The 15,309-nt window shown below is 47.6% G+C and overlaps 1 protein-coding gene, 1 non-coding gene and 1 pseudogene across 14 annotated transcripts in view; all 3 read right to left on the minus strand.

The window, feature by feature from the left end:
- PLEKHM1 (pleckstrin homology and RUN domain containing M1) overlaps positions 1–15,309 on the minus strand; it is a 56,513-nt gene that overhangs the window by 38,976 nt on the left and 2,228 nt on the right. For 6 of the 13 annotated variants that reach the window (NR_027782.2, XM_047437188.1, NM_014798.3 and 3 more), the window contains exons 2-4: positions 9,253–9,341; positions 4,716–4,963; positions 1,916–2,542 (exon numbers count right to left, since the gene is read on the minus strand). Coding sequence is in view for 11 of the 13 variants with exons in the window: in XM_047437188.1 (XP_047293144.1) it covers positions 1,916–2,542; positions 4,716–4,963; positions 9,253–9,300 (923 nt within the window). In the remaining 2 variants the exon portion in view is untranslated. The other 7 variants (XM_011525525.1, XM_047437191.1, NR_027774.2 and 4 more) reach the window with 5 other exon arrangements.
- MIR4315-1 (microRNA 4315-1) lies at positions 2,179–2,251 on the minus strand. Its single transcript, NR_036199.1, has one exon. It is a non-coding gene; the product is annotated as a microRNA 4315-1 (primary transcript).
- LOC124904113 (uncharacterized) lies at positions 5,858–5,904 on the minus strand (annotated as a pseudogene).

Consider the following 15,309-nt stretch of genomic DNA (forward strand, 5'->3'; position numbering starts at 1 on the left):
CCACATACACAAGGTTATTTATGAAAACACAGGCCCCAGCACCCATTAAATACTGGGCTGATTAAGTAAACTAAGGTACATTCATACACTAGAACAATATGCAATAGAAAAAAAAAGAATGAGGCTGGGCGCAGTGGCTCACGCCTGTAATCCCCAGCAATTTGGGAGCCTGAGGCAGGAAGATCTCTTGAGCCCAGGAGTTCAAGACCAGCCTGGGCAACACAGTGAGACCCCCGTCTCTATAAAAAATAAAAATAAAAGAATGAAGAAGCTCTGAAATGAAAAGATCTTCTCCAAAACAAGATATAGAACAGTGTGTATATACTGCCTTTGTAGGAGAGAAAGTAATAAATAAGGAAGAAATTTTAAAAATCTTTTATTTTTTTTTTTTTGGGACAGAGTCTCACTCTGTCACCCAGGCTGGAGTGCAGTGGCACGATCTCGGCTCACTGCAAGCTCCGCCTCCTGGGTCCACACCATTCTCCTGCCTCAGCCTCCTGAGTAGCTGGGACTTCAGGCGCCCGCCACCACGCCCGGCTAATTTTTTGTATTTTTAGTAGAGATGGGGTTTCACCGTGTTAGCCAGAAAGGTCTCGATCTCTTGCCTTTGTGATCCGCCCGCCTCGGCCTCCCAAAGTGCTGGGATTACAGGCGTGAGCCACTGCGCCCAGCTGAAAATCTTTATACTGGTATTTGTTGTAGATGCATTTAGAAATTTGGAAGAATATACAGGAAATTATTATGGTTTTAGGGGTGGGAGGAAAGAACAGGGTAGAGGGAGAACAGGAATGGGAAAGGCTTTCACTGTATATGTTTTAGATTTTTTTTAACCATAAAAAGATTATCTATGCAAATTTTTTATTTTATTTATTTATTTATTTTTTTTTTTTGAGACAGAGTCTTACTCTGTCACCCAGGCTGGAGTGCAGTGGTGCGGTCTCAGCTCACTGCAAGCTCCACCTCCCGGGTTCATGCCATTCTCCTGCCTCAGCCGCCCATGTAGCTGGGACTACAAGGCGCCCGCCACCATGCCCAGCTAATTTTTTGTATTTTTAGTAGAGACGGGGTTTCACCATGTTAGTCAGGATGGTCTCAATCTCCTGACCTTGTGATCCACCTGCCTTGGCCTCCCAAGGTGCTGGGATTACAGGCGTGAGCCACCGTGCCCAGCTGCAAAAAAATGTTTAAAAGGCTGTGTGAAGAAGGCTCTGCCCAGTTCTCTCTTCAGCCTAGTTCATCTGCCCCACATACTCTTCCACACATCTGTCTGTCCCCACCTGTCCACCACCTCCTGCATGCAGCACTCAGGTCCTGTGTCCCCCAGGAGGTATTCTGTGAAGTCACACTCTTATGCGTTATGTTTCATCTATTTGTTGGACGTTTTAAATGTACTCTGACCTATTAGTTTCCTTCCTTCTAGATGAAGACAACAATATTTTACACTGTGCCTTGTAGAGACTAAGTATCTTGTTTTTTTGTTGTTATTGTTTGTTTTCAGTTTTTGTTTTATTTATTTATTTATTTTTAATTTAGAGGCAGGATCTTGCTACATTGCCCAGGCTGGCCTCGAACTGCTGGGCTCAAGCAATCCTCCTGTATCAGCCTCCCAAGTGCTGGGATTTCAGGCATGAGCCACCGCACCCGGCCAAGTAACTTGCTAAAAGTCACCGGGGCAGAGCTGGAGCCCAAACCAGCTCTAAGCTGTTCTAAGTCCACTTTCTCCACTATGCCTGTATTGCCTGCTACAGTTCCCAGCTACTCCAGTCCCTGGAGAAGTCGATGACTCCCTTGGCTTTCTTTAATTACTAATAGAGTTCAGTAACAGACAATCACATGCTATGGGAAGAAAGGGAGGAGGAGAGGAAAGAAAGGAGGGAAGAGAGAAGATGGGAAGGAGTGGGGGCAGCGTACTCACTCTTGCAGAGACCGGTCTGAGTCCTCAGCATTTGCTGTGCCCAGGTCTGAGTCACAGGACATGGGCTCCTCGCAATGGTCTGGACTCTTGGAGCCATTCTCTTGGAGTAAGCAGCTATCAGAGTTTAGGCTGCAGGACAGCTGGGATGAACTGGCCGTGTCCAGGCTGAGGGAGGAGGCAGTCAGCTTCTGGTTCCTCCGTATCTTATGGCCCGAGTGATGGACTTCGATGTCTTCAGAGCCTGAAGAATGGGAAATGGAATCCAGAGATTCCTTCCGCTGTAGTTCTGCACCAGAGGTAGAGAGAGGGTCCAGCTCAGAAAGCGGGCAAAGCCCAGACAGGGCCAATGGGGTGAGCGTCCACTCATTTAAGATGGCAGACTTGTAGGAGAGTTCGAAGGACAAGGACGTGAGGCCCTGCAGGAAGCTAAGGAGGAACTCGCCCTCCTCAGCATCCCGGAGCAGGGCGGTGGGCTGGTAGTACTCATGCAAGCGGGCCTGCTCCTGCAGCAGCAGCTTCAGGTAGCACTCCATCAGGCCATCGTTCAGGGCCAGCCGCAGCCATGCCCGGCAGCGGCCCACATCCGTGTTGACAAACGTCAGGTGCTCCAACTCTGAGATGATGTGTCTGGGAAGGGAGAACAGACGTGTTTCAAGAAACTACCCCAAATCACAGAGATGTGCTTTTATCCACTGGTTAGCAGGAACCAGGAATAACTACTGCAAATAGATACAGGCATGAAAAAATATTGGGTAATAGTGTTTTAGGCCAGATGTGGTGGCTCACACCTGTAATCCCAGCACTTTGGGAGGCCAAGGCAGGTGGATCACTTGAGCTCAGGAATTCGTGACCAGCCTGGGCAACAGGACGAAACTCTGTCTCTACAACAACAACATAGCCAGATGTGGTGGCTTGCACGTGTAGTCCCAGCTACCCAGCTACTCGGGAGGTTGAGGTGGAAGGATAGCTTGAGCCTGGGAAGCAAAGGTCACAGTGAGCGGAGATTGGACCACTGCACTCCAGCCTAGGCAATATATATATATATATTTATATTTATATATAATAAATATATAAATATAAATTATATATATTTATACATTATATATATATATATATTTTGAGATTGGAATTGTGAAAGATAATTTCCATGTTCATTCCAACTACCACGGGGCCCCTGACACATCTGCTCATCTAAGGCATGCTGTCAGAGCTCCTTAAGTGCAAAGTCCTTGGAGCAATGAAGATGCAGGGTAAAGACATGGTCCCTGCCCTCAGGCACAAGGGACTGATGGAAAAAGGCATAAAGTGTAGGAAATCAACAACCCTGTAAGAGGATTGGGGAGCGCTCCAATTACAGCATGTGGCGGAAAAGTGGGTGGTTTGGTTGCAAGGCCAGGAAAGAGAGGGTCTTAAATATCAAATCAATAAGGCAACACGGGGTAATGGCCCCACACCCAGCTGTGCACCAGAACCCCCTGGGGAACTTGAGCAGGATACAAGTTCTGGGACCCCAACCTAGTGAATCAGTCTCCAGGCTAGCATCTGGGAGCCTGTAGGCTACAGATTTTTGTTTAGAAAAGTGACTTGACCACAGTCATGCAGACTGCAGGGTAGATGTTCTGCATAAGGAGATCAGACCCCAGGTGTACCAAACTCAGTCCCAGAATGCCTCCGTCTGATGTACATGCCCCTCTGAGCTACCACAGTCCCTAGCGCAGGTTTATCTCCTCCATGGGAATGTAGACCGCACTCTACTAGGCTCAGTGAGTAAGCTCCAGGGAGCTTCAGCTCAGTAAATGTTGACCAGATGATGGACTCAAGGAAAGACAGAGTGAGATAAGGGGGACAAATAGAAAGCCAGTGTCACCCAGGAAAGAAGAACGTGAGACAAGGCAGTGGCAATCTGCATGGAAAGGAAGATTAGAGACTGACAAGGCTTCTTTTGGGCTGAAGGTGGCATTTAGTAGTCCTCAGAGGCACAGTGCCAGCTACTTGCTCAAAAGCCCAGACAGTTAGGGGCCAAAGAGATAAGTGTCTCAGGGTGAATATTCATATGCTTTTCCTGATTCCACTCTTTATATAATCCCAGCACTTTGGGAGGCGGAGGTAGGCAGATCACAAGGTCAGGAGTTTGAGAGCAGCCTGACCAACATAGCAAAACCCCTCTCTACTAAAAATACAAAAATTAGCTGGGCGTGATGGTGCGCGCCTGTTGTCCCAGTTACTCAGGAGGCTGAGGCAGGAGAATTGCTTGAACCTGGGAAGCAGAGGTGCCAGTGAACCGAGATCGCGCCATTGCACTCCAGCCTGAGTGACAGAGCGAAACTCCATCCCAAAAAAAAAAAAAAAGATTTACAATTCGGATGTTTGAATAATCTAAGGCAGGGTCAGCAAATCCAAGGCAGGGTCAGCCCTTCTGTAAAGGGCCAGATAGTATATTCTTCAGGCTTTGCAGGCCACACAACCTCTGTTGTAACTATGTAACTCTGCCCCAGTGTGGCAAAAAAGGCTGTTCCTGCTAAAGGTGGCCAGTCTCACCTGCTTTTTGTGACCAGTCTCAAAGCAGCCACAGGCTCTTGCCTGAGTGCTGAGGGTCTCAAGATCTGCTGGCACACTGGCTGGGAAGCTTGGTCTAGAGATAAGCCTTTCTAGAAGACACTTTCAACCCCTACCTCACCCTCTCTCTATGCTAGAACACAGGGCACCTCTGTTGGCTTCCTGAACAGCTGGGGAGGAAAAGCCAAGTGTCCCATAGTCTGCTGCTCCTCCGCAAAGCAAAACCTCTCCAGCTAAATCTCACTTGTGGGTGACAGCTTTCAGGAGGGGCCAGAAGACAGGCTGGGGCAGAGGCTTCTGGTGGGCACTTTTCTTCCTTTTTCCTCCGGCCTCAGCTCGGATGTGCTTGGCGTGCAGGCCATGGATAAATACGGCCTCCAGGGCGCTGCACATGGTGTTGGCATCTCCGTCTTCACTAGTGACCACCGTGTCCAGGGACACGTACTGCTTCTGCAAGGCCTTCACGGATCCCACCAGCTTCTTCTTGATGACCTAGGCAGCACCACACAGAACACAGGCCTTTAGCGGAAAATCCTATGGAGAGTCCCTAGAGTGTAATCCTTTAGCTGGTGCCAAATACGTGTGCAACCACATGCACACACATCTATGTGTGTGTCTGTAGATTCCTTCTGCAAAATTAGCACATTGTTAACTACAGCAAAGAAAGATAAAGCATAGAGAAGAAAAGGAAAATCACACACACTACCCAGAGATAATTACTGTTATTGTTTGTTTCATATGTCCTTTAGTATAGATACTTTTTGTTTTTTAGACCAAACTTAAGTGAACTTAGAGCCATATAATCTTGTGTTTAAATATTGGCCCCATCATAGCTGCAGTGATGGGAGCTTGGGTAAATCCATCTAGGACAAGGGTGGGGCTTCCCACCTTTTTTACATGGACAAGCTTCTGTAGAGAATCAATAAGCCAAGAGGCAAAAACAAACAAACAATAAACACCCACACTGCTTTAGAACAATAAAAACATGAGGAGAACAGGAGCATGGTTTACTTTAAGAAAGATCCTAGGCTGGGCGTGGTGGCTCAAACCTGTAATCCCAGAACTTTGGGAGGTCAGAGGCAGGAGGACTGCTTGAGTCCAGGAGTTCAAGGCTGCAGTGAGCTGTGATCACACCACTGTACTCCAGCCTGGGCAACATAGCAAGACCTTGTCTCAAAAAAAGAAAGATCCTAGGCCTGGAAGCCAGAGGACTAGGCTCAGTCCTAGCTGCCAGTAACCAGATGGGCCTCCTCAGACATTCCACTTAACCGCTTTGAGCCTCAATTTCCTTATCTGTTAAAGTGGAAATAATACTTTCTGATTTATAGTACTATGAGGATTCTCCTGAGGACAGGACTACCTTTTTTTTTCTTTTTTTTTTTGGGAAGTGGTTTCTGGTGAAAACCAGAAAACCTACTAGATAAATTCTAAAAAGAGGCTGGGTGTGGTGGCTCACACCTGTAATCCCAACACTTTGGGAGGCCAAGGCAGGCGGATCACTTGAGGTTAGGAGTTTGAGATCAGCCTGGCAAACATGATGAAACCCTGTCTCTACTAAAAATGCAAAAATTAGCCAGGTGTGGGCCGGGCACGGTGGCTCACGCCTGTAACCCCAGCACTTTGGGAGGCCGAGGTGGGCGGATCACGAGGTCAGAAGATCGAGACCATCCTGGATAACAGGCTGAAACCCCATCTCTACTAAAAATGCAAAAAAATAGCTGGGCGTGGTGGCAGCGCCTGTAGTCCCAGCTACGCGGGAGGCTGAGGCAGGAGAATGGCGTGAACTCAGGAGGCGGAGTTTCCAGTGAGCCAAGATCGCACCACTGCACTCCAGCCTGGGCGACAGAGCGAGACTCCGCCTCAAAAAAAAAAAAAAAAAAAATAGCCAGGTGTGGTGGTGAGTGCCTGTAATCCCAGCTACTTAGGAGGCTGAGGCAGGAGAATCACTTAAACCCAGGAGGCAGAGGTTGTACTGAGCCAAAATCGTGCCACTGCATTCCAGCCTGGGTGGCAGAGTGAGACTCCATCTCAGAAAAACAAAACAAAACAAAACAAAACAAAACAAAAAACATATATATAAAAGAGCTGAGTGTGGCACTAAGACTAGTGTTTTATTCATCCTTGTGTCAACACTTGGCACTGTGCCTGGCACATAGAAATACTCAATAAATGTTTGTTAAATGATACACCACAAAATGTACATAGAGTCTTTTGGAAATATAGAGTAAAAATTGAGCATAATTATAAGCATGTGAAAATCACATAAGTGATTGGAAAAGGACTGGAAGGGATTACAGAAAAACTGGTTTGAATTGTTGGGTGATAGGATTATGGCTACATATTTTAATCTTTTATTTTGATTTCAGCCAAAACACTAAATGTTAACATTCTTTGAAAAGTTAAATTTGAAAAAATATAACGGTTTTAATGAGATATAATTCATATACCATAAAATACACCCATTTAAAGTATACAGTTCAATTGTTTCTAGTATATTCACACAATTGTGCAACCATCACCACTACCTAATTTTAGAAGATTTTCTGGCCGGGCACAGTGGCTCACGCCTATAATCCCAGCACTTCGGGAGGCCAAGACGAGTGGATCACCTGAGGTCAGGAGTTCGAGACCAGCCTGGCCAACATGGTGAAACCCCCATCTCTACCAAAAATACAAAAATTAGCCGGGCATGGTGGTGCACACCCATAATCCCAGCTACTTGGGAGGCAGAGGCATGAGAATCACTTGAACCTGGGAGGTGGAGTTTGTAGTGAGTCAAGATTGTGCCACTGCACTCCAGCCTGGGCAGCAGAGGGAGACTCCGTCTCAAAAAAACAAAAAAACAAAAAAACAAAAAAACAAACAAAAAAAACGATTTTCATCACCCCAAAAAGAAATACTGTATATTAGTGATTGCCAGGGGCTGGGAGAAAGGGGAATACGAAGTGAATGCAGTCACTAATCTATTTTCTGTTTCTGTGGCTTTGCATATTTTGTACATCTCACATGAATAGATATCAATACAGCATATGACCCTTTGAATCTGACTTATTTCACTTAGCATATTTTCCATCATGTTGTAGCATGTATCAGGACTTCATCCCTTTTTATTGCCAGAAAATATTCCGCTGCCTAGATATACCACATTTTATTCATCCATTCATCAGTTAATAGACATTTGGGTTGTTTCTACTCTTTTGCTATTATCAATAATGCTGCTATGAACATCCATGTACAAGTTTTTGAGTGGACTTATATTTCTAGTTCTCTTGGGTATATATCTAGGAGTGGAACTGTACACATAACCCTATGTTTAACTTATCAAGGAACTGCCAAACTGTGTGCCAAAGTGGCTGCACTATTTTACATTCCCACCAGCAATATATGAGTTCCAATCTCTCCACATTTTTGCCAGCACTAGTTATTGCCTTTTTTATTACAGCCATCCTAGGGGGTGTGAAGTAGTATCTCACTGTGGTTTCGATGTGCATTTTCCTGATGTCTAATGATAATGAGCATCTTTATTGGCCATGTGTGTATCTTCTTTGGAGAAGGGTCTATTTAAATCCTTTACCCATTTTATAACTGGATTATTTGTCTTTTTATTGTTGAGTTATAAGTGTTCTTTATACATTCTGGATACTAGACCCTTATCAGATATTTGATTTGCAAATATTTTCTCCCATTCTGTGGGTTGTCTTTTCATTTTCTTGGTAGTATCCTTTGAAGCTCAAAAGTTTTTAATCTTGAAATAGTCTAATTTTAAATGTTCTTTTAAAAGCAAGATGTTATTTGTATATTATATTTAAAAAGTACATACATACTTCGTTCAATTGAGCACCTACTAGGTGTTGGGTTAGGGTATACAGGGAGAAATAAGGCATACCCTCAAGAAAGGCATACCCTCATGGAGTCAGTTTGTGCAGCTGTTGTTAGAAGGCTGGGTTGGCCAGGCTTCTGCCCTAGCTCTGGAGGGTCCTGGGGTGGGATTCGGCAGGCACTGGGGGTGGGAGAGTGGGGGTGCAGAGGGGAGGGAAGAGCCTCTGCATGAAAGCCAGCTGGGAAACAGGTGGAGCTGGACTCTCCTGTGGCCAGGACGGGGAAAGGCACGTCTCTGAGAGCTACAGTTTCTTTCAAGCAGAGTTCTCTGAGCTGGGAAGCAGCAGTGGGGAGGAAAGGAAATCCTGGCTTCTCCCCGAAAGCCATCTCAGGATGCTGCTAAGGGACCAGCCCCAAAGCTACCTGACTTCCTGCCTCTCCAAGAGAACAGAGAGCTCTATCTGGAGTACCCAAGATAGCCCAGGAGGGTGCAAAGGGCTGTCCAAGAAAAGGTCCTAGGGGGCTCCAGTGAACTGCTCACAAATAATTACATTTAGAATATCCTAGAAAATGGTAAGTGTTCAGATACATGTAAGTTACCAATTTACCCCCATTACTGAAACAACAAACCAGTGCCTGGGAATATCTGTTTCCCACCCATTCAGTGCTTTGGCCAGACTGTGACCAAATCATGGCCTAAGGGCAGAGGGCTGAAGGGCTGAATGGAAATCCTTGGTCTTCAGGTTACTGATCTTAAATTCCCACTGCTTTTCATAAATCTCCATCTTATCACCAATAAGGTGATCTAGAAAAGACAGGGTCTCCTCAGAGCCTGCTTGTGCTGTAACTTTTTCTCAACCTGGTCTCTCTTGCAGGACAGTGCCCAAGGAAGTGAGCCAAGCCGATGATACAACTGTCCCCTGCAGCCCTTCCCCGCCCTTGATCCTCCCTCACCCACCTACCGGGATGGCAGCCTGGGGGTCCAGTCCATTCTCCACCACTGAAAGCATCTCCACTCACGCAGCTGCTCCCTCAGAGAATCACATGACACCTGAAGAGACAGATGGCAGCCAGATGAATGGGCAGGGAACTTTCCCCCAGCCAGAGTCCATTCCCAGCAAGCAGCAGGAGGTCAGCCTCTCTTACTCAAACTGCAACCAAAAAGGCCTTTGCAGAACACAAAAGTAAAAACTGATAATAGATTTGAAGGAAAGAAACAAGGAAGGAAAGCCCAGGGGGCTTAGTCGTTGGGAGGCAAGGAGTCCTGGGTGCCAGGGGTGGGTCCACCCCAAGGAGTAGGTGGTAAGGGCGCTTCACATCAAATGCTGCCCAGAAAGCCAAGGCCCTGTAGGATTGAAACCTGTAGGCAGGGAACGACAGGCTGATTCAGATACGGAGCTGCAGGTTCGAGGGGGAGGCTGCAGCTGAAGGTGGCAGGAACCCAATGGGACCAGGAAGCAGGGGCTCACAGGCTCACACATCACATTCAGGGGCTGGGTCCTGCAACACCCTGCCCCCACCCCTCACTCCTGTCCCAGTCCAACATCTGCCAGCTCAGCAGTAAAAAGTACCACTGGAACGGCTTCAAAAGGGGAGGGCTCCCTTGCTACACTTCTGCTCCTCATTTGGGCTTCGAGGGTCTGGCTTGAGCAGCACAGACAGGGACGTGTCTAACCGGGATGACCATGAGGTCTCATCGCAGTTTGCCACTAACCAGGTAGGCATGCTCAGACCTCTCAGATGGAGAATGTGTAAAATGCCTGTCACGGGGCCTGATATGTACCTGTACCTGATATGTTGTACCTGGCATCTGTCATCCCAGTGGATGTGGCCACCTAAACCTACAGACCAAGAATGTCATCACCTAAATGAGTATGCAGGAAGAGCTGAAGTCAGTGAGTGGTTAAATCCCTCAGGGCTGCCAGCTTCCTCCTGGAAGTGGGTGGGGTGGGGTGGGGTGGGGTGGGGTGGGGCGGGTGGGGTGGGGACTTTAGCCTGAGCCTGAGGGGGCTGCTGACTGGCTTGGCCCCACCACAGCAACTTGGACAGACCTGGGCCAGGCAGGCACATTCACACGTAAACAAATCTCTAGCCAACTCCTGGCTGAGCATCAGGGGAAAGGGAAAGGTGATGTCTGTCTCAGCTCTCAATCACCGCACAAAGAAGTTAACAAAACCAAGAAAAGTTAAATGGGCTCAGTTCTCTTTACATATATTGCCTAATTTATGTTCCTCCTAAGGACCCTAGGAGTGCTGTTTTATTGTCTCCACCTGACAGATAAGGAAATGGCAGCTGACCCAGGTCAAGGAAGTTCCTGAGGTCCCAGGGCTGATAAGCGGCCTGACTCCACCACCAGCCCCCAGGAGGAAGCCAACCCCAGCCCTAGGAAAACCCGATTCCTGAGTGAGTGCTGTAAACCAAAAATAAAATTCTAAGCTCCCCAACTGCCTGAATGGGCCCCCCTTGGCCAAAGGGATTTCAAAAAAACTGAAAACTGAGTTCAGGCCATGACACGAAGTGGGGCGTGGGCCATGCCTCATCCTAGCCTCTCCCTTTTGGAGCTTAGACACAACTGACCAGCATTAACATTAAAACAGACTCCTAAGACTGACAGAACAGACTCTCAGCAATTAAGATACCAACTCCAACCTGACTGGTCTAACATCACATGGGAGATAACAGGCCCTAAGGAAATCAAAGTATCTTACCCCCAAGTATATTTTTGACATAGTTTGGAATGGCCCTGCAAAGCCATCTCTTGTTGGGAAAATTTATGTCCTGCAGAGATTCCCTTCCCTTTCTAGGCCTTTTCCTGATTTAGAGGAGATTTAACTAAGAGTCTGACACCTTAGAGACATTTACCATCTATTCTCTTGAAGGCTTCATCTACGTTACATGAACCTTGGCTTTCACAACCCACCTTATCTTAACCCCAAGCTTTTCTTCTGCTGACTTTTAACTCTTTAGGCAAAGTTTAACTTTTTCAGCCAATTGCCAATCAGGAAAATCTTTTAATCCACCTTACCCTGTCCCCACCAATGTATACCTTACATATATCAATTTATGTCTTTGCCTGTAACTTCTGCCTGTAACTTGGATAAAAATCAAGCTGTACCCCAATCACCTTGGGCACATGTTCTCAGGACCTCCCAGGACTATGTCACAGGTCATGGCCCTCACATTTGGCTCAGAATAAACCTCTTCGAATATTTAACAGAGTTTGGCTTTTTCATCAACAGTGCCATCACCTCAGAGCTAGGATTCCAGGGGTGGTCTGGGAAGACCCTTTCGCTGGGGGCCGGGAACAGGGGGTGCAGGGGAACATTAAGGCCAGTGTGGCAGGAAAGGTTTCCTGGACAGCCCTGGAGCAGCATGAGGTTTGGAAAGCAGACAGGCAGGCTGGCCCTAAATGGTGGAAGGTGCTCTGATTGGATCTCTGGCTTCTGGGGATAGCAGAGGGCAAACAGGACACAGGGAGTCAGGACCCAGAGCCAACCTCCCTAAGTCAGGTCCCTCAGGAGGAAGCAGGCATGTATGGAGGATGGTTCCTGCAGACCCAGTAACAGGCCGGGTGCTGCAGATGGCCAGAAGAGCCCTCAGTCCTGACTACAGCCCCATCTGACTGCCTCACCCTTCACCATAGTCTGCTCCCAGCTACCCAGGGATTCTCAGAGCCCTCCTCTGGAGACCAGTTCCACATTCTGGCCACGGGGTGACAGGAAAAGGGGGTTGTATGCTGCAGTGACTCTGCATCTAGGGTCACTTCCAGAAACAGGCCTGGTCTTGAGGTCAGGCTCCATCAAGGCTACCCTTTTGCAGCTCAGCAGGCCACGTCCAGCTTCTCTGGCTCCGAAACCCTGGGCTCCAATCCCAGTCCACAATTTCCAGTGGCCTGAGGCCCTCAGGCCCACCCTTCTAGAGAGAGCCCGAAGCCCCAAAGTTGCCCTTCCCTTAACCAGCTACAGGGCCGGGACCCTAAGGACTTAGACCCAATAATTTGAATTATAGCCCAGGCCCATTAAGACCTCATTAACTAATTAGCTGAGAGTGATAGAGTATTCACAGAGTATTCACTGGGAGGAGCAGGCCATTGGTAAGTGAGTGCTCTGGCCAAGTAACAGTATGCTAAGAAGACAAAATAGGCCAGGTGCCGTGGCCCACACCTGTAATCCCAGCACTTTGGGAGGCCGAGGCAGGAGGATCACTTGAGGTCAGGAGTTTGAGACCAGCCTGGCCAACATGGTGAAACCCTATCTCTAATTAAAAAAAAAAACAAAAATTAGCCAGGCATGGTGGCCCATGCCTGTAATACCAGCTACTGGTATTACCAGCTACCATACCGGCTGAGGCAGGAGAACCACTTGAACCCAGGAGGCGGAGGTTGCAGTGAGTCGAGATCATGCCACTGCACTCCAGCCGGGGCAGCAAAGCAAGAATAAATAAATAAATAAATAATTTATGGCATGGCGCCGTGGCTCACGCCTGTAATCCCAGCACTTTGGGAGGCCGAGGCCGGCGGATCACGAGGTCAGGAGATCGAGACCATCCTGGCTAACACGGTGAAACCCCGTCTCTACTAAAAATACAAAAAAATTAGCCGGGTGCAGTGGTGAGCGCCTGTAGTCCCAGCTACTCGGGAGGCTGAGGCAGGAGAATGGCGTGAACCTGGGAGGCGGAGCTTGCAGTGAGCCGAGATCCCGCCACTGCACTCCAGCCTAGGCGACAGAGAGAGACTCCGTCTCAAAAAAAAAAAGATAAAATAAAAAAATAATAATAATAATAATAATTTATGTCTCAAATAAATAAATAAATAATAAACTGAAGCTGGCTGGGCGCGGTGGCTCACGCCTGTAATCCCAGCACTTTGGGAGGCCGAGGCGGGTGGATCACGAGGTCAGGAGATCGAGACCATCCTGGCTAACACGGTGAAACCCCATCTCTACTAAAAATACAAAAAATTAGCCGGGCGGGCACCTGTAGTCCCAGCTACTTGGGAGGCTGAGGCAGGAGAATGGCGTGGACCCAGGAGGTGGAGCTTGCAGTGAGCCAAGATTGTGCCACTGCACCCCAGCTTGGGCAACAGAGCGAGACTCCATCTCAAAAAAAAAAATTAATAATAATAAACTGAAGCTAAGAGAGACAGGGCCAGACAAGAGAAGGGTCACTTGGCCTAAAACAGAGTCAGAAATGCCACAAAATGACTGACAAGAGCTCAGAGAAATCCAGCAGAAGAGCCACTTGAAAATTCACAAGACAGGACTGAGCCTCTGGGGTTCCAGCCACAATGCAGGACACCTCTGTTTGTAGGCAGCCATAGCACCCCACCTATCTGTATCTGTTCCATCATGCTCAGGGAGGCAGGGCTCAGATGGTCAGTGACATAAGAACTCACGGCGGGAATCAGAAGGAGGCTTTGTGTCTCTTGACTGTGGGGACAGTACTGCGTCACCCACCCTGGTGGCCCAGATTCTGAATCTACCATCCTATGGAACTGGTTCCACTTTCTGTCCTCAAAACGCTCTTCATTGACACAAAGAACCAAAGTGAAGAGAGGTGTGGCTTCAAGGAGACCTACCTGAAGGGAGTGAGGCAAAGCTGGGCAACAGTACCAAAGGGCTCTTGAACATGACGGGTGAAATCTTAGCAGGGGAAAGGTGACTGGTGCCATTTAGGAAGCCCCAAACCACACCAAGTCTACTGCCACCCTGTGTATTCATTCGCCTTCACATAGCTCTCCAGAGTGCAGAAAGCAAGCTTCTCTGATGTCCCTCTCTAACCTCATTTAATTCTCACAGCAATCCCGTGAGAGAGTGATTATCCCTGTTTTACAGAGGACAAAACTGAGGCTCAGTAGCAATGGGTCTCGGGTAAGGGACAGAACTCTCTGGTTTCTTCATCCCAACTCCTGCATCTTTCCCTGGACCAAAAGGCCTCAGGTCTTTGGCTCAAATTCAGACAAACTATTACTTCTTCTTTAGAGGTACTCGGAAGCTCCATTTCATCACAGAAGGTCTGAAACCAACAAGAAACAGTTCTGCCAATCAGGTTTATAGCCCCAACCAGCTGAGACCAGGTCCTACCAATGCTCCTAAAGTCTCAGAGCTATACTTTCTTAAATGTTCCAACATAGTTAGGAAGGAACAGTTCCGGTTGGTTTCCTGCATTATACTGCCTGGCCTTCTCTATATGTCCAATTTCACTTCCTCCAGAGATCAAGGAAGCAAAAAAAGAGAATGACTTGGATGAGACTTACGTTAAAAGAAGAAAGGGATAACCTGGTTCCACCACTCTCAAAACACTCCACCATCAGTGAACAGCAACCTCTTCTCTTGAGGGACTCCTCAGCCACTCCCCACGGCCTTCTCTCCACTGCCTGAATTGTGTAACTGGCTGTTCAGAGCCACAGCCTGGCTTTAAGCCATCCAACTGCTGTACCAATTGATGAGTCATGTTTTTTCAATTGGAAAAGAATGACAAAGTTATCCTCTGATTCAGAAAGGCAGCTGATCTTTCAGGCATGTGAGTGCTGACTGAGGAAACTGCACCTCTGTCCACCTGAGGAAAGCTGGATTTCTGTGATGGGTGGAGTGGTGGGGGTTGGAGCTTTGAAGCAATTAAATACCAGATGAAGGGTGAGAAACTTTTAGCTTGTGATTCCCAGACTCAGGGCTAGTGGATGAGGGCAGAATTGTGGAGTCAGTGAACACTAGCTATCTTTCTTTCCTCCCTCCTTCCTTCCATCCAGTATCACCCAGCTTTCCTGTATTCTTGTCCCATATCCCAGAGGATTCTAACAAGGACCAAACTCTGAATGAATGAAAACAGGACCGTTGCCTGACCCATTCACCATTGTATTTCTAGTACCTGGAACAGTGTTTGTCACACACTGGTGCTCAAAAAATAAGCTGTTGAATGAATTGATTAATAAAATAAAAACAAGGCACGGGGTAAGTACCTCCACTTCACACACTGTGGGAAGTTGGGGTATACAACTCTTAAGTGCTGGGGCAACTGTGGAG

This window comes from Homo sapiens, chromosome 17 (genome assembly GCF_000001405.40).
Source record: "Homo sapiens chromosome 17, GRCh38.p14 Primary Assembly".
In the NCBI taxonomy this organism is placed as follows: domain Eukaryota; kingdom Metazoa; phylum Chordata; class Mammalia; order Primates; family Hominidae; genus Homo; species Homo sapiens.